The sequence below is a fragment of the Homo sapiens genome, chromosome 1, assembly GCF_000001405.40.
Source record: "Homo sapiens chromosome 1, GRCh38.p14 Primary Assembly".
Taxonomy (NCBI): Eukaryota; Metazoa; Chordata; class Mammalia; order Primates; family Hominidae; genus Homo; species Homo sapiens.
The window spans coordinates 154,475,648-154,494,794 of NC_000001.11; the positions used below are offsets into that span (position 1 = coordinate 154,475,648).

The window sequence follows — 19,147 nt, forward strand, 5'->3', positions numbered from 1 at the left end:
CATATTATACTGCCTATGAAAAATTGTTTATTAAAATGTACAAGAAGTAGGTGGGGATCACAGACAAAACAAAATTGGCTGTAAGACAGTAATTGTTGATGCTGGGTGATGGGACAGGGTGGTTCATTGTATTCATTTCTTTTTTTGAGACAGTGTCTCACTCTGTTGCCCAGGCTGGAGTGTAGTGGCACAATCTCAGCTAACTGCAACCTCCACCTCCCGGTTGGAGGTGGATCGCTCCTGACCTCAAGTGATCTGCCTGCGTTGGCCTCCCAAAGTGCTGGGATTACAGGCATGAGCCACTGTGCCCAGCCCATTGTATTAGTTTCTAAAAAAGCTTGAGATTCTCCATTTTAAAACGTGCAAGGGTTTTAGAAAGAATGTTTCTCTTGCAAGTACACCATCTGAAGCAGTCCAGGACGGTGCAGTGGCTCACACCTACAATCCTTGTACTTTGGGAGGCTGAGTCAGGATGATTGCTTCAGCCCAGGAGTTCGAGATCAGCCTAAGCAATATAGTGAGACCTTGTCGCTACAAAAATTCAAAACATTAGCCAGGTATGGTGGCGCACACCTGTGGTCCCAGCCACTTGGGAAGTTGAGGTGGGAGAATTGCTTGAGCCCAGAAGGTCAAGGTTGTGGTGAGCCATGATAACACCATCGCACTCCTGCCTGGGAAACAGAGAAGACCCTGTCTCAAAAATAAAGTAAAATCAGGCCGAGCACGGTGGTTCATGCCTGTAATCCCAGCACTTTGGGAGGTCGAGGCAGGCAGATCACAAGGTCAGGCGTTTGAGATCAGCCTGGCCAACATAGTGAAACCCCGTCTCTACTAAAAATACAAAAATTAGCCAGGTGTGGTGGTGGGCACCTATAATCCCAGCTACTCAGGAGGCTGAGGCTTGGACCCGGGAAGCAGAGGTTGCAGTGAGCCACGATTGCATCACTGCACTCCAGCCTAGGCGACAGAGTGAGACTCTGTCTCAAAAAAAAAGTAAAGCAATCCAAAATAATCCATACCGTCTCAGAAAAAAAAAAAAGTAGAATAAAGCAATCTGAAATAATCCACACCTTTTTTATCTTTTAAGTAAAATATGTTTCTTGCCAACAACATGCTGGTTGATAGCTTGATCAACAAATTGGCTTTTATGTGCTCATCAAGTAATAATTTATCTTTCCCTCAATCCAAATTAGTAAACCTGTTTATTTATGCACATAAATTAGAAGGCAATCATTTAAAAATGTCATGTAGAAAGTATTTTAAATTTGAATCAAGACATTACAGTGATTCATACTACATGATTCACAAAGGGGAAGTAATTCTGGTGCTACCTGTGGATTCTGGAAATGATAACCTCATGCCTCACACTGAATCTCCTCAAGGTATGTTTATCAGAGCTTAAATGACCTTCAGGACTTCACACTACCCAGTTCTACAGGCAGAGCCTCTCCCAAGCAGGGGAAAGGCTGCCTAGGCCCATGGACACAACTTGCCAGACCCAGCAGAGGATTGTCCTGGAGGTGGAGATGGATACCGAAAACCCAATTCCTTTTTCCCTTGCTCTGAGTCCATGTGCCCCTCTATGGGTAGAGAGCACATTGATCACACAGGTGACCTGAATGTCCAGTCTGCTAGATGCATTTCCATTGTAAGATAATAGACTGGCATTTTTGTGTGTGTGGTAAGAAATGCATTAACATAAAATTTACCATCTTAACCACCTATTTTAATTTTTTTTATAAGAGATGGGGTTTCACCACGTTGCCCGGGCTGGTCTCGAACTCCTTCGCTCAAGTGATCCGCCTACTTTGGCCTCCCAAAGCCCTGGGATTACAGGCATAAGCCACTACACTTGGCCTATGTTAACCATTTCTAAGTGTGCAGTTCAGCAGTGTTAACTACATTCATATTGTTGTGCACCCAATCTCCAGGACTTTTCATTATCTCATGCAGAAACTCTGGGCTGGGAATGGTGGGTCATGCCTATAATCTCAGCACTTTGGGAGGCCAAGGCTGGTGGATCACATGAGGTCAGGAGTTTGAGACCAGCCTGGCCAACATGGTGAAACCCCGTTTCTACTAACAATACAAAAATTAGCTGGGTGTTGTGGCGCATGCCTGTAGTCCCAGCTACTTGGGAGGCTGAGGCAGGAGAATTGCTGGAACCTGGGAGGTGGAGGTTGCAGTGAGTTGAGATTGCACCACTGCACTCCAGCCTGGGCGACAGAGCAAGACACTGTCTCAAAAAAAAAAAAAAAAAAAGAAAGAAAAGAAAAGAAAACTCTGCACTCATTAAACAACTCCCCATTTCCTCCTTCCCCAGCCCCTGGCAACTACCATTCTACTTTCTATGAATTTGACTACTCTGGGTACCTCATGTAAGTGGAATCATACAGTATTTGTCTTTTTGTGACTGACGGGTTTCACTCAGCGTAATGGTCTGTGTCAGGATTCCCTTCCTTGTTGAGGCTGAATGATACTCTGCTGTATTGCCAGCGTCAGTTATGGGAGTAGCAAGATAATGAAGCACACCCTGCCCAGTGGCTTCCAGAAGTTCCTGGTCTACAAGGTCAAGGAGCCGGAATGAAGCGCTGCTGATGTGCAACAAATTATACTGAGCTGAGATTGCTCACAATGTTTCCTCCAGAACCACAAGGCCACTGTGGAGCGAGCAGCCCCGTGGGCCATCAGTCACCACTCCCAAGGCCAGGCTGTGCAGCGAAGAAAATGAACAGACAACTCAGTCTATGTTTTGTTTTTAAATGAAATCATAAAAAGTGCAAAAAAAAAAAAAAAAAAAACACTCTAGAGTGAGACCTGGGCCGCAATCTGGGCTCTACCACTTACTATGACTGACCCAAGACAAGTTATTTCATCATTCTAAGCACCCGTGTTTTTATCTGAAAAACAAGGTTCCCACCTGGCTGAGTTGTGGCAGATTAAATGAGATGCTGTATGATGAAAAGCATTTGTTCAGCAGCACACCTGGTGCGGAAAAAGAGTCTATTCTCACTACTTACATCTTGGCCTTTCACAGGGTCAGAATCCAACATTCAACACTCAAACCCTGGGTGCTTGTAAACACGTGTTCAATCTGAATTCTGAAAACCATTACTCTAATTGCTCGGGTGGTGGGTGGCGGGAGCATTTCTTAATGCAAACTTCCTCTTCTCTTAAACACAGATGGGTTAAAACAATAGGCACTTGTTCCACCTGGTGGCAACTTACATAAATGTTTAATGGAAGTTAAAAACTTGAAACCATGTTAGGAATTTTGGAGGGGAAAACTTTTTGATAGCAGACTCAACAGTATGCCCTTCTAGGACCTGACGTGAATTTATTTGTGCATTTCCAAATAGGAGCTTCCAACAGGGCTTCTCCACCATTGGCTGTGTATCCAAATCACCTGGTACAATTTTTTTTTAAAATAGGTTTTTGAACTTTGCAACAGACTTAGGGCATCCCACAGATGGCATGGGACATTTGTATTAATAACAAACTGATAAAAACAGAAGCAGAGCCCAAATCTTCTATCTAGTGAGGGATGAGAACCAGTGCACTAACTTTCGACTCAGGAAGAGATGGGCCAGGAAATGGCAGTAAAACATCACTGTATTACTATTTTACTTGGGAAGAAAAACATAATAGAAGGACTCTAAATGTGAACAGAGTAAATAAAAGATAGAATCTGCTGGTTATGTTCCATCATGGTGTTTCTATATTTCATTAATGGTGACTGCAAATGAAACTCTGCTGTAGCTCTTACCATGGGAAGTATTTTTCTGAAGGAAGATGATTCTCAGAGCTAACTGAATTAAGCAAAACCACTGTAGTTTTCTTGGAATAATGTTTATTTAAAGTTACATTTCAGAGGAAACTATCTTCAGGAGGGCATGAAGCCTATATTGGCTACTGCAAAACAACCAGAAGTTTTATAAAATATTTCTGATTTAAATTACTAAGGCACTATAGATAGACACCTATATTACATACAATCTTCAAACATTTTTAAAAGTTGAAACTATGTATTAGTTGATATCTAAAATATTAAAGCCCCTGACAAACTGAACGGCTAAGAACTTGACAAAATGAGACGCCTGTTTCAATGATTCTGTTGCCAGCATATTAATTAAAATACAATTTGAGATTCTAAATTACACGATCCAGCCTTAGTCCAGGGACCTTGTGATGATAGTTGTATTAGACTTCAAAACACCCTTTCCGCAGGAAAGGGCATTTTTCAAGATGGCAACTGCTGTGTCATCATTTTCCCTTTTCTGGACTGTATCAGAAATCCTTCAGAAAGCCCTACCCTTAAATGCACAGCTGCTTTTCCCAACTGCAGTTTTCTCTTTTCCCATTAGATGGCAGTAACGCACCATCTCTCTTCACACAGGGTCAGCGGTGGAGGGTAAGTTGAACAGAAGGCCCACTGCACAGCAGGCCAAGTTTCTCTAGTCCACGTTAGTGGGGCACAAAAATTGGAAATGAGAATACAGAAGAGTGATTCTAACCAGGTCATAAGGCCAAACTAGTGCTAGTTATGGAAAAATAGGAGACAACTAGTGAACGAGAGATCTGTGAAGGGTTTCAGTGCAATCCTGCTGAGTGTCAAGGGGTGCGGGGAAGGGAAATGAAATCGACATCACTGCACTCCCTAAACCCTGGAAGGAGGGAGAAACAAGGGGCTAACCTTTGACTGAAAAAGGGCATCTGACAGAACAGAAACTAACCCCACTTAACCCGCAACTGAAGAATGCCTCACAGTTATTCTTCTGAATATCAAGATGCATCCAGTAACAACAGCCAATAACAGACTAGTAACAGAGTTACATAATCCAATTAACAAATTAGGACAATTTCCCACCACCTGCCTCAAAAACTCCTGGCTGCCCCTATCAGCTACCTGCCCACCTCCCCATCCTGCGGCAGAGGCTAGTACACAAATACCAATTCTGCAAAGTACGGAGACTTCCAACAGCAAAGAATAAAGGCTTTCTAAAATGCTTAAGAAAGTGCTTTGAATAACTTAAAATGACACTTCTGCCCCCAACAGAGAGTAGATATATCAATATTTACCTTTTTGTATACATATTAACACTTCTCCATTATTTTATTCCTAGCTTAAATACACACAAGGCCAGTGGTTTGCAGGCCATCCTGAGATACAACTATGGTATCAAAGTAAATAGCAAGGTCCTTTACTCTCTCTTCTTATAGGCCTGAAACTAACCAACTGAACTTGTCCAGTCATCGCAAGCAAGTATTTTTTTTAAAGAAGGTGTGATCAAGAAGAACACTGACACAGCTCTATGGATGCTAAATTCAAGGCAAATTCACTGAAAGACATTCTTCTCACCAGAGAATATCCTGGGAGATGGAATAACTCGAAGGAATGAGGACTACAGGAAAATACTTGTCTCAAGACAAAATGACAAAAAGCCAGAGCATTCAGAGCTCAGAGAACATGTCACAGAGCTTCAGATCAGCTGGCCATGGAGGTTTAACAAGGAAGCCATTAGGGACACCCTGCTGGGCCTAATTGTTTTTAGAACATATGGAACTTTGTGCCACCACACAGCTGTGAACTCCCTGGCTTTTGTCAGCTTGTGTCACAACCTCAAGAAGAAAATAGCTCACTAACGCCCCCACCTCTGACTTCCCACTAATTTACTATATTTCTTCTTATAACCTCCTGTACAACTGTAAAGCAACTGGACAATATGTAAACTCTGCCTCTCCTCTACTTTTAATTCTATAAAGAATATAGTATGACTTGTCACAGAGAAACAGTATAGAAGAAGCATAATACTGGGCATATGACAGAAGCTCAATAAATACTTAATGTATCTGGCCTGTTTTCAAGATGTTATTTCATTATACATTCATCACAGTTGCTGGGTATGGGCCAAAAATCATTTAGTGCACAAAGAAAAATTGTATAAAGCTTTTAGCATTTATTAAAATTAGAATAACTGCTGTATTCCCTTTGTAGAATAAGGTTAAGTAAAAACGTTTCATTTCTAGAATGTTAAACTAAAAATAAGTTTAACACAATGAATAATTTGTATAAAGATAATAAATATTTGTTGAATGGATGCTGAAAAAACCTTTTAAAATCTTACACTAAAGATATAGTAAATGAACCAATACACACTGAAAACATTCTATCAGTATCTGAAAAAAACATTCCTTTTGGTTTTTTGTTTGCTTGCTTGTTGAGACAGGGTCTCACTCTGTCACTCAGGCTGGAGTGCAATGGTGCGATCATGGCTCGCTGCAGCCTTGACCTGAGCAGAGGTGATCCACCTACCTCAGCCTCCCGAATAGCTGGAACCACAGGCATCCACCACCAGGCCAGGCTTTTTTTTTTTTTTTTTTTTGAGATGGAGTTTCGCTCTTGTCACCCAGGATGGAGTGCAGTGACATAATCTTGGCTCACTGCAACCTCCACCTCCTGGGCTCAAGTGATTCTCGTGCCTCAGCCTCCCAAGCAGCTGGAACTACAGGTGCCCGCCACCGTGCCCAGCTAATTTTTGTATTTTTACTACAGACAGGGTTTCACCATGTTGGCCAGGCTGGTCTCAAACTCCTGACCTCACGTGATCTGCCTGCCTCAGCCTCCCAAATTGTTGGGATTACGTGCATGAGCCACCGCACCCAGCCTACATTCTTTATTAATAAAATCATTGTGTTCCAGTGAGGAAAAGTTCCTCTTAAATTTTTAAAATCAAAGATCACACAACCTTTTGGCTGAGATCTTATCTGAATAAAGAAGCAAAAATTTACTAACCTCTAAATCTTACAGTCAAATGTAACTAGTAACTACAAAGGTATACTTTCCTAAAAAATTAACCAAATCAACATTTTGTGTGTATTTATAAGCTACAAAGGTTAACTTTTCATTGATGACAGTCAGTACATTTGCATATGGGGCAGTTTTGAGACCCAAATGACCAACCCCAGAATACAGACACATCTGCTGAATTTTAATTCTGGAGCCATTCACCATAGTACTCTTCTCACAGTATGCCATTCCCATGGTTTTTTTCACAGTAAATAAACTGGTGATATAAGCTCATGATAAATCATAAAGATCCTAATACTATGAATCTTAAGTAATGGTATTTAAGAGAAAACCTCTAGGTCTTTTCAAACACTTCTGTATAGTACAAGGCAGTCTGCTTGGTACAGAACGAGAGAATCTTTGTAGGCTTTAGAGACCCAGTTCATATAATCAGATCTTAGGGTTGCATTTTTAAAAAATTTACTACAAAGCAAATCTAATTTTAGAGACAAAAATTAAAAATTATTCCATAGCAACTAAAATGCCCAATGATGATGAAACAAAAGACATCGAAGTTCTATGTAATTAATTCAGTAAAAAAACAGTTGTGGAGCTTTGCAAATTTCCAGAATTTTAAAATTCAGAAATGAAATTTTTGTTGTACCTTTTATTCTATAATTCAGAATTCTAATAATGATGCCAATGCCTAATGATATTGGTGATTCTTAAACCTGGGGTATCTTCCTTCCTATTTATGCTTATCTCACTGATTTGCTAAAAAATGAGAAAATCCACAGAGATTGAGAGAACACACACTTTCTTGGAAAGGCTGACCAACAAAATAATCCTTAGGCCACACTCTGAAGTTGCGGATTTCCATGAACTCCAGAGCTGAATTAGGACTTCTGAGGGAGAAAGACCACCTTCTTGCCCGTCATTCACATTTTCTCCCGCTCATTCATTTCCCCAATAACGAGTCCAATATAACATCCTCTTCCAGTCTGCACCATCATGTGGAAAAGCCACGTGGATTTTTTGTTGGTTTGTTTAGAGACCAGGTATTCCAGGTAACAAGTAGGCACATTTCTAGAGAACTCTGATGCTCCTGAACTCCTGACTTAACCTTCCTGAGGGTCACACCATAAAAAGAACACCCTACCCCAGAGCTGGAGGCAACAGCTAAATCATGATTTCTTATTGTAGAACTACTTAGCAAGGAAACAAGGGACAGGCCACAAACAAAGTGTCATGGAATCACTTTAAGACCAAAGACTTGGCCGGGTGCAGTGGCTCATGCCTGTAATCCAGGCACTCGGGGAGACTGAGGTGGGTGGATCATTTGAGGTCAGGAGTTTGAGACCAGCCTGACGAAGACGGCGAAACCCCATCTCTACTAAAAATACAAAAAAAAAAATTAGCTGGGAGTGGTGGTGCGAACCTATAGTCCCACCTACTTGGGAGGCTGATGGGGAAGAACTGCTTGAACCCAGGAGTCAGATGTTGCAGTGAGCCAAGATTGCGCCATTGCACTCCAGCCTGGGCAACACAGCGAGACTTCGTCTCAAACAAAACAAAACAAATCACTCTCTGACTTTTCAAGGAAGACTCCCATTTTCTAGCAGTTGCTAGTCCAGCCTTGTCCTCTGAGATGCTGGTTGTGCGCTGATGATGCCCTTGAAGGTGCCAGAGGCCCAGGGCTTGCAGTGGCTGAATCTTAGTGAAGCTTGCTGTGCACTGGGTAGAGTAAAGTCATGTGTTCTGCCCCTTTGAAAGGCAACTTTTCATTGGAATAATAGTGTACCACTTCAGGGATGCTGTCAAACACAGCGCTTGTCTGATTCAGTGTGTATTTGTTGTCTTTGGTCTGAGCCACTATGATGTGGACACATCCTTGACTAGTCCTGGAATGAAAATCAAGGAGGAGACATGAATGAGTGGGCAGAGGATCCCTCCCCACTGAAAACAATTGCAGCCAGATTCACACTAGGTTGATAGGTTCTCATCCATCCCGTAATGGTTCTACACACACAGAAATGCATTCCACACTCTAGTGGTACTCTCAGAAATTTCACAGTCTAAACGCATGTAATCCTTGAGTGGTTTATCCTTATCACATATGAGTCATCAGGTAGTGGAACAAAGAAAACAATTAAAAAGAATGCCAAGTCCCTTCTAGCTCTCAAATTGCAAAACCAGTGCTTACGCCCAAGCACGAGGCTACTAAGGTGAGGTAGAAACTCATCCTCGGCTGGGCACGGTGGCTCACGCCTGTATCCCAGCACTGTGGGAGGCCGAAGTGGGCGGATCACTTGAGGTCAGGAGTTCAAGACCAGCCTGGCCAACATGGTAAAACCCCATCTCTACTAAAAAATACAAAAAAATTAGCCGGGCATGGTGGCAGGCACCTGTAATCCCAGCTACTTGGGAGGCTGAGGCAGGAGAATCACTTGAACCCAGGAGGCGAAGGTTGTAGTGAGCCGAGATTATGCCACTGAACTCTAGCCTAGGCAACAGAGTGAGACTCCATCTCAAAAAAAAAAAAAAAGAAAAAGAAAAGAAACCCCAAAAAAACTCATCCTCCTCACCACAGCTAAAAGGACGTAAGTAAGGGTTCTTCTTCTTTTTTTCCAAAAAGAACACATAAATAATAATAATAAAAACCATTTCCTCCCCTCGCATCTGGAAAGACCATTCCTGGTTGTATAAAATGAAAGCTGGCACCAAAAGCTCAAAGATTTAATCCACAAGCACCAATTTCAGGAACACAGTCGAGCTATTCCTGGTATTGTATATCTGGTGGCCTATCCCATTTTCTGAGCCATATTGCTCAACTCCCCCGCCCGACTCTGTTCTCCTCCAGCCTGATTGTTTCAGCTGCAGGGGCTCAGCTTCCTCAGGAAGGAAATGCTGTTAGGGCTCTTGACAATGATCCTCCAATACAGGGACACTGAACTCACGGAGCAGTGAGAATTTCCATGATACACACTCCACCAGGCCTACCAGGCAAAAGTGAATTTTCTGTGTACAATCAGACAGAGGGAGCAACAGGCAAGTCAGCATTTCCTTCTTCACCAGAAGAAACTGGTGTCAAAATTGCAGTTGGCATTTTGACAATCAGGGGGATCTTGATTTATTAAAGTCCCCAATACTAGGGAATAAAAGAAGAATGACTGTACTACCCTGTTAGAAATAATTCTTTTCATCAGGAATTATTTCTCTACTGAGAGGGCCTACTCCAGATTAGGTAATGTAAGGTAGACATTGACTAATGCACAAAGATAATGCAATAAGACCTTCATTATCATAATAGATAATGGAGGCATTTACCCAATACCAATTTTGCATTCTCATCCAAGTGTCTCATGTTCCATTGTCCAAACAAATGCCTCTTATTTTCTGCAATGCACACCCCTGTGAAACACCTTCACAGTATGTTTTTTTTGACTAGAAGACTGTCACACAGTGTTCCTTCCCCTTGGAGATGAGGAAAGCCATGGGGCTTACTTACTTTAGGGCAATGGAGTACCTGCTGTTCCCTGACTCACTATTTCGAACCAGGTAACCAGCTTCTTTGCAGGGCTGTAGTCGACTCTCAGCCTCAGCACGGCTGATGGCACCATGATACCAGCTGAAAAATGGGGGTGGAAGAGGGGAAAGCACCATGAGTGTCAAAATACAAATCCAGACTGGGCATTGCTCCATAAAGCGTTGTTTGAAATGAACTTCTGGCAGAGACGCAACAGCCTGAACTAGATCCTGCTTCACATTCAGAACAGACAAAATGCAGATCTGGGTGATCCCAGATCACAAAGCCTATCAATCATACAAGAGTGAGTTAACGGCGCTAGTGTCATTTGAACAGTTTTCACTCTCTACAGAAGAATAAGACTTACAATGAGCTTGTTGAGATGCAGTGCACTTTCCATTTTGCACAATGCACTGGGCTTTGAAGATGGGTTTTCATTAAAAACCCCATCCAGGCAAGTGTTCATTAACAAAAATAATCATGTGAAATGGGCCAATGTGCTCCCTGATACAAAGCTGTAAGCTCCCAGCTGTTGTCTGTTACAAGGATCTGAGGAGGAGACTCACGGCTGCTTCTCCAGGGGCAGGCCCGGGTCCACTTTCTCTCCCTCACTGTGGTCCGAGAGGGCTGGCTTCAGGATCTTCTGGGTCCAGCTCTTCTGCCGGTGGTGCTGCCTCACTGTCTCCTCCCTGAAGGAAGGTCGCTCAGCTCCTTCAAACTGGACTGGAAGGAAGACTCCATTTAACATCACAGGCCACTGCGGTGACCCATGTAAACTTCAAAGGGAAAAAACCTCCTTGCCTGCCTTGGCTCAGGAAAGAAGCATTTTCCCCCTTTAACATTAACTATAATATACTGCAAAATACCCTGGCTAGCTGAGCTCCTGCTGTCTTTGATATCTGATCACACTGCTAGCATCCCACAGACACTTTTTCTGTAAAATATTCATCAGTATAAAACAGTTTTAGATTATGAGAGGAAACCACTTTAATGTATTTCAACATGGACTTTTAAAAAACTTGTGGTTTTGTGGCCGGGCACGGTGGCTCATGCCTGTAATCCCACCACTTTGGGAGGCCAAGGCAGGCAGATCACAAGGTCAAGAGATCAAGACCATCCTGGCTAACCTGGTGAAACCCCATCTCTACTAAAAATACAAAAAGTAGCTGGGCGTCGTGGCTCGTGCTTGGAGTCCCAGCTACTTGGGAGGCTGAGGCAGGAGAATCACTTGAACCCGGGAGGCAGAGGTTGCAGTGAGCCAAGATTGCGCCACGGCACTCCACCCTGGCGACAGGGTGAGACTCCGTCTCAAAAAAAAAAAAAAAGCCAAACTACTTGTAGTTCTGCTATTTTTAGGATAAAAGATTAAACATAGTTACAGGTAATGAATCCTTGCAAGAATGTGTATCATCCTATAAAACCAAACCAATAGTTTTTAGTATGAAATAATAAAACAAAAAGAAAAGACAACTCAGAAACAGAAAGACTACCAAATAATACGAGATGCCATGACACCTAGGCTGGAGAGAAGGAGATGAAATGGCAGCACCTGGCACAGGACTGAGCAGGTACCCGAGATGACAACTCAAATCAAACGAAACTGACTCCAGGCTGGGCATGGTAGCTCTTGCCTGTAATCCCAGCACTTTGGGAGGCTGAGGTGAGAGGATCTCTTGAGCTCAGGAGTTCAAGACCCACCTGGGCAGCACAGTGAGACCCCATCTCTAAAAAATTAAAGAATAATCCGGGAGTGGTGGTGCACGCCTGTAGTCCCAGCTCTTCGGGGGGCTGAGGTGAGAGGACTGCCTGAGCTCAGGAGGCTGAGGATGCAGTGAGCCATGATCACACCAACGCACTCCAGCCTGGGTGACAGAGTGAGACCCTGTCTCAAAAAACAAAAAAAAAAAAAGAAAAAAACTGACTCAAATGCTTGCCATCAAATATATTACCTTCTCCCTTCACCCTTTACATTGGTTATACTTTTTTTTTTTCTTTTTGAGATGGAGTCTCACTCTGTCACCCAGGCTGGAGTTCAGTGGGGAGATCTTGGCTCACTGCAACCTCCGCCTCCTGGGTTCAAGCAATTCTCCTGTCTTAGCTTCTCGAGCTGTAGCTGGGACTACAGGTGCGTGCCACAACACCCAGGTATTTTTTGTATTTTTAGTAAAGACGGCGTTTCACCATGTTGGCCAGGATGGTCTCCAGCTCTTGACCTCATGATCTGCCTGCCTCGGCCTCCCAAAGTGCTAGGATTACAGGCATGAGCCACCACACCCAGCATAGTTATACTTTTGTATAATTATTATTATTATTTTTGAGCCAGAGTCTTGCTCTGTCACCCAGGCTGGAGTGCAGTGGCATGATCTCGGCTCACTGCAGCCTCCACCTCCCAGGTTCAAGCTATTCTTCTGCCTCAGCCTCTTGAGTAGCTGGGACTACAGGTGTACGCCACCACGTCCAGCTAATTTTTGTATTTTTAGTAGAGACAGGGTTTTACCATGTTGGCCAGGCCGGTCTTGAACTCCTGACCTCAAGTGATCCGCCTGCCTCAGCTCCCAAAGTGCAGGGATTACAGGTGTGAGCCACTGTGCCCGGCTTGGTTATACTTTTATTTATTTATGTATTTAGTTACTTATTATTTTTTGAGACAGAGTCTCGCTCTGTCACCCAGGTTGAAATGCAGTGGCACGATCTTGACTCACTGCAACCTCCGCCTCTTGAGTTCAAGCGATTCTCCTGTCTCAGGCTGCCCACTAGCTGGGATTACACGCGCCCAGCACCAGACCCAGCTCATTTTTGTATTTTTAGTAGAGATGGAGTTTCGCCATGTTGACCAGGCTGGTCTTGAACTCCTGGGGTCAAGTGATCCGCCTGCCTTCTCCTAAAGTGACTTGGATTACAGGCGCAAGCCACCGTGCCCAGCCAGGTGGTCATTCTTTCAATGGTCATTTCAGGCATTTCCAAAACAGTTGCACATTGAGAAGAGAAAGGAATATAAAGGTACCCACAAGGAAAAAAACAAATGTGGGGCTGATGCGGTGGCCAGAAGACTGAAGTCACACTGGGGCGGGCCTGGCCTGGCGCCCTCACCTGACAGAGCCCGCACGATCTGCTCCTTCTTCCACTCCCATGGCTGCTCGTACTCTGCCGCGGGCCTCTCGTCGTTCTCGGGCAGCCGGCTGTCTGGGGGCCGCGCCTTCCCCTCTGCCCTGGGCCCCCCTTCTGCAGGCTCGTAGGGAGTGTCGTATAGCTGTGGCGGCTTCCCCAGGAGGTCCTTGGAACTCCGTCTTTTGGCCAAGGTCTCTGATTTCAGGCCACCGTCTGCGGGTTCACAGGGACTGTCAAGCAGCTGGAGAGCCTTCACCAGGGGATCTTTGGAACCCCGTCGTCTAATTTCTGAAAAACACACACCATTTCTGAAAAACACACACCATACACAATGTCTTGAAAGCAAAGATGCCATAAAAGCCTGGTCATTAACCCAACTGCCTCAGCACCTCTGTCTGTCTGGGTGAAGGTGGCAGATAACTCCAAGATTGCTCCCTGATAGGTTGATTACTTCTCAGCTGTGTTACAAAAGCAAAATGAAGGTGCCTACAACTTCTTCCCTCCAGTTGCCTGAGTCAGATAATGGGATCCACATTTAAGGTGGGAGATTACATCTGAAGACAAGCACACCTCCAGGGTGCCACTTGCAGTTTGTAAGTAGTGGCCTCAGGGTAACCTGCTTCATTTCCAGGTTCTGGTGTCTGCTCTGAGTATAGCTCACTTTCAAAGTTTTTACATCTTGTCAGGAAGCCCAGATAAAAGAATTGTAATAAAATCGACTGCAAGTCAAAAATGCACTTAATACATGTAACTTACTCAGTATCATGGTTTAGCCTAGCCCACCTTAAACGAACACATTAGCCCACAGCTGGACACGATCATCTGACACAAAGCCCATTTTGTAATAAAGTTTTGAACATCTCATGTGATCTACTGAATGCTCAAAGTAAAAACCAGAATGGCTGTATGTGACTCGAAGTACAATTTCTACTGAATGCATATCACTTTTGCACCACTGTAAAGGTTGAAAATTATAGTCAAACCACAGTAAGTCAGGCACTGTCTGGATATTCAAAGCATTGCTGCATATACACTAAGGGAAAGCATTTATGTGCATTAGTCAGAGTTCTTGACTCCTATGCAGTTTCAATAAACTGGGGGAAGCCAGACACATTCACGAATAATATGTATTGGGCTAATAACTCCAGGATAAATCAAAGTAAAAGAAGTGTTATAGGGAAAACCAGTAATAACAACTCAGCAGCTAACATTTATCGATGGCTTACCATGTGTGAAGCACTATTCTAAGTGTCTAGTAACTTTCACAATCACTCTAAGATTATGGGATATCATTATTTCCCCATTATTACAGAAGAGAAAACTGAAGCACAAAGAGTTTAAGGAAATTGTCTAAACCAGTAAGTGCCAAAGCCTGGATTCAGAAGCAGGAAGTTGGGCTCTAGAAGCTATACTCTTAGCCACTACACTTGGATTGACTCCAAGTGGAAGAGAAATGGAAGATGAGTTGACTTTGATAGAGAAGGTCATTTCCAGTAGAGGAAGCTGCATGAGTGAAGATATGGAGGTGGGAACGATAGAGGGCTTGTTCCATAATGGGGAGCTGAGAGATGGGTCTAAAGGCCAGAAGGCCACAAAGGAGAGAGGCAATGGGTAATGGGAGAAGCAGCTGGAAGCATAGGCAAGCCAGGTGCCAAGGTGTAGACATTTTAAAAGTAAGGACACAAAGTTTAGATGGTTGTGTATGTAAAACAAAACCATTATAAGGTTTTTTTTTTTTTCAGTGGGGAATAACAATTATATTTGTGTTTCACTGGAAGGTAACTCTAACCATGGTGTACAGGATAGAGTAAATCAAAAAGGTATAGTCTGAAATGGGGCATAAAAATAGATGGAAAAAACCATATGCAAACCAACCAACCACTAGCTATCTAACCAGCCAACCAGCCACAGTGAGAAGGAACTAGCAGTACAGGGTGGTGAGCAGCCTGGGGTCAAGGAGCCTTGCCAGAGTTAGAGATGGCTGGAGTCTGGACAACCAGAGCTGGTGATACAGAGTCTATATTATAGACCAACAGAAATGTCATTTTGTGGCTCTTCTAAACGCCCATCAGGAAGCCTTCAAACCATCCTCTACCTGGTCATAGTCAAGGAGGAACTTTCTATATGCAGATACCTCATCTCTTAACACCTCATAAGCTCCCGACTGTTTACTTAAGAAGTGAAGAACACTGAGAACGGCATGGGAGGCTTACATGAGTAGGTCACTGTCTTTCTCCCCAATTTCTCAACACTACCCTGCCCCATCTCCCCATAATCCAATTCTTTGCTCTGACCAAGTGGAATTTCTGGCAGTTCCCTGCATACTACACTGTCTTGAGCCCACCGGTGTCCTGGCGATCTTGCAATCCTTTACAATCTAACTCAGCATCTTCTCCTCTCCGGAGAAGGCTTTCCTGCCCACCTTCTTCTCTGATACCCCACAAAGTTAAACAGGTGCCACGGCTGGACCAACGCACTCTCACCCTGCTCTTCTCCCACTGCATCCATTTATATGTTGATGTGTCTGTATTTTCAATTTGGTGGAGTCTGCCAGGGCAGAGACCACCATATCTTGTTTATTACTGTAGGACATATCATTGTGCTAAATAATGACTGGATGGATGGATGGGAGGAGAGAGGGAGGGGAGGGAACTCAAGAATGTCTCCAGGCAGGTGACAGTGTGGATCTGGAGGAATACGTCAAGGGGTTAACAAATGGATCGTTGTGAATACTGTGAGAATGAAAGCAATCACAAGAGAAAAGGACGGCAGATTGAAAACGAGAGAGGATCAAAGGCAGAATCTGGGACTCCTTCAGTTATGGGTGGCTGGAAGGAGGTGCCAGCAAAGAAGGCTGAGGGGTCAGGTGAGGAGGAAGAGGCTCAGGAGACCGCAGGGCCGCAGACACAAAGGGTGGAAAGACTTTCTATCTGTAACTTCAAAACAGGTGTGGGGATGGTCCGTGGAGAAATGCCACTGACTCATTAAGACCTCTATAACAAAAAGAGGGCAACAAATGAGGGAAACGTTATTAAAATCAGGACACCAAATTCAAAAGTGCAAAACTTAGGTATAGGCTGAGGTTATAGTTCTCTGCTGACTAGGGGCTGTCAGCAGCTGTCTCAAATTCTGTGCAGGGACAGCTCATTGAAATCACCCGCGGGCTTTCACACACACTGCTTTAACCACCAGAGGTTCAGATTGGATTAGTCTGGGGTACAGTGTGGGAGTCAAGAGTGTAAAAATCCCCCAGGTGATTCTAAAGAGCAGCTAAACCTGAGAACCACTTCCACACCTCCTGGGTGTCCACAGTCCCCATCTTGGTTCCTCATTCTCCGGAGCCTGTCATTGCTAGTCCCATCCTGAGGAGAAAGGTACTGCCTGTGTCTACCACTTCCACATCAGAATGTAAGAGTCGGAAGAACTGTCCCTGGCCCCCACCCCCAGGCCAGGCCAGGTATCTGGGGTTGTCTGAGGTCAGAGCTGCATCTCCTGAGTCCCTGGACTCTCAGTCCTACAGTTTTTCTTCTTCCTTGCTTACTCCAAACAGAGCTATGGAAAACAAGAAACAAAAACATACTCTGTTCTTGGTTCAATTAAGACAAGGCTGTAATTTTTTTAAAAGGAACTTTTCTAAAGAACTAAGAAAAGGGAAGCAGAAAACACAAAGGAGTTCAAAGGATGAATATAGAATACAATTTTAAGGTTTCTAATCATAGTTTACACTCAGTTGAGACCATCTGGCACAGGCTGGGGAAACCCTTTCCCAAGGTCCTTGCTGCAATTCTGCCCCAGCTAAACTAAAAGGAAAAAGAGGTGATTCTAACATTAAGACAGAAGGAGCCCTGCTCACAAGGACATTTCAATACATTTGGATTAAAATGTACAGGGTGGATGGGCAGTGTTCCTACCGGGCCTTCCAGCCCACCTCCCCTAAAATAAAATAAAATGATGTATAGTGATTAGAATCTTGAGTTCTTATTACACACGCGTTTGAGTTTTTACTTTTGCAACGAGGTCCTTCTATTTAGACAGTCTCCCCACACTTAGAGTTCTGGGAGATACACAAAGCATGGAGTTGAGAATGCTTTCTTGCAGGGTCCTGGGATTAGGCAAAATCTGCAAACTGCTATCATCTTTTGAAACAATGTTTAATTAGGGGAAGAAAGGGCTTGAGCACAGGCCTCCCCTCCCCACACCACCCCCCTCTTCAAGGGGAGTAACCTTCCAGTCCATTCCAACACCTGGCTGCCCCCAAACCTGAGGCGCCATAGAAACAGAAACAATCGTGGGGCTGCAAGCCGACCCTTCCTGCAGGGAGAATAGCCCCTGACGTGCAGAGCTGGCTCCAAGAGGAAACGAGCCTGAGAAGGAGGAAATGGCAAGAGGAAGCTACACCCTGGCTGCCGATAGAGGCCATTTACCACAGCAGACAACAGAATGCAGGGGACGGGCAGCAGATAAACACTCATTTGCAGCCTGGGGCTGAAGCTCAGCACTGACCTGCACCTACTAAAAACATGCAGTTGGTTGGTGTGAAACATTATAGGGGCCCAAAATTTTCCCTTCTCAATCCCCAACTCGCTGCAGGTAATTATGTCATTCACATGAAAACACAAAAACAAGAAAGTCTTAGCAGAAGACTAAGATTTTCTTTTACTAAATTAACTGTAGTTAGCAATAAGTATTGCCCTATATGGTCCAGAATGCTCTTTGGAAATATAATTGTCTCTGGAGTGTCTAACTCACGGCTGTACTGACTAGGTATACACCTGCTAGGTGTATTATGCCCAGAATCTCACTGATGCCTCACTAAGGCAGTGACAGATGTGTTACCCCATTTTCACAGGTGAATACACGGAAGCCACAGTCATGCAGCAGTTATGGTGAGGCCAATTATTACCAACTCCAGAGTCCATGCTTTATGCTCAAATGATTTCACGTAAAATGTTAATTCCAATTTCCAAATAATGTGCCTTTTCCCCTAATCCATTTTAACCCATTTCATGTTTCCAAAACATTAAACTTGGAGCCTCTTAAGACTCTATTTTCCTCCTGGAATCAGAAACAGGGCTGCCCGACAATTTTTTACTCATATCTTTGATCAGTGCTCAAGCTTTTAAAATTACTTTAATATTTTCTTATTGAATAAATCTAAACATCTGAACAAAAGCAGGTACAATTCAGAAACCCTGAAATTTAGCGAGGAGAATAAAGACAAATTAAATCAAAACCAGTCTTCATTTGCACTTTTTTCCATAAGAGGTTTTTTCTGTTTAAATCACAGGCAAAGACAGACATAACAGTTTTTTTTTTTTTTTTTTTTTTAGAGATGGGGTCTCACTATATTGGCAAGGTTGGCCTTGAACTTCTGGCCTCAACTGATCCTCCCACCTTGGCCTCCCAGAGTGCTAGGATTATAGGCATGAGCCACCGGGCCCGGCAGATGGAGTTTATAGTTTTTTTTTTTTTTTTTAATGGAGACTCGAACAGTGAGGTTCTCTTTTAGATTTGACTATTTAAACAAACCAACAAAATCATTTGGAAGTAAAAATAAAATTTTAAAAATAATCTTTGACTGGAGCTCAAAAGCTAAAACCACAGCTTGCTGAATGACATGGTATTTTCAGTTGTGTAATTTGAACAAATTATTTAATCTTTCTGAACCTAGGTTTCCTCAACTGTATAAAGAAACCCGCTTGCACGGTGGCTCACTTTGTGGCTGG

At 43.6% G+C, this 19,147-nt stretch overlaps 1 protein-coding gene across 4 annotated transcripts in view, besides 2 other annotated features; it reads right to left on the reverse strand.

Moving 5' to 3' along the window:
* The window catches only part of SHE (Src homology 2 domain containing E), a 32,776-nt gene that overhangs the window by 6,011 nt on the left and 7,618 nt on the right, over positions 1-19,147 (reverse strand). The window contains exons 3-6 of one of the 4 annotated variants that reach the window (XM_011509163.4): positions 13,404-13,709; positions 10,880-11,036; positions 10,296-10,415; positions 8,242-8,688 (exon numbers count right to left, since the gene is read on the reverse strand). In XM_011509163.4, coding sequence (XP_011507465.1) covers positions 8,502-8,688; positions 10,296-10,415; positions 10,880-11,036; positions 13,404-13,709 — 770 coding nt within the window. In that variant the 3' untranslated portion in view covers positions 8,242-8,501. Of the gene's footprint in view, positions 1-3,833; positions 8,689-10,295; positions 10,416-10,879; positions 11,037-13,403; positions 13,710-19,147 lie in introns of those variants that run through there. The other 3 variants (NR_135169.2, NM_001010846.3, XM_005244891.6) reach the window with 3 other exon arrangements.
* Positions 12,944-13,446: an enhancer, noted in NCBI's record as "H3K4me1 hESC enhancer chr1:154461067-154461569 (GRCh37/hg19 assembly coordinates)". NCBI's record gives its function as "activates a minimal SCP1, AML or CMV promoter by ChIP-STARR-seq in naive H9 embryonic stem cells {active_cell/tissue: H9 hESC(naive)}" and the evidence as "EXISTENCE:reporter gene assay evidence [ECO:0000049][PMID:30033119]".
* Positions 13,447-13,948: an enhancer, noted in NCBI's record as "H3K4me1 hESC enhancer chr1:154461570-154462071 (GRCh37/hg19 assembly coordinates)". NCBI's record gives its function as "activates a minimal SCP1, AML or CMV promoter by ChIP-STARR-seq in naive H9 embryonic stem cells {active_cell/tissue: H9 hESC(naive)}" and the evidence as "EXISTENCE:reporter gene assay evidence [ECO:0000049][PMID:30033119]".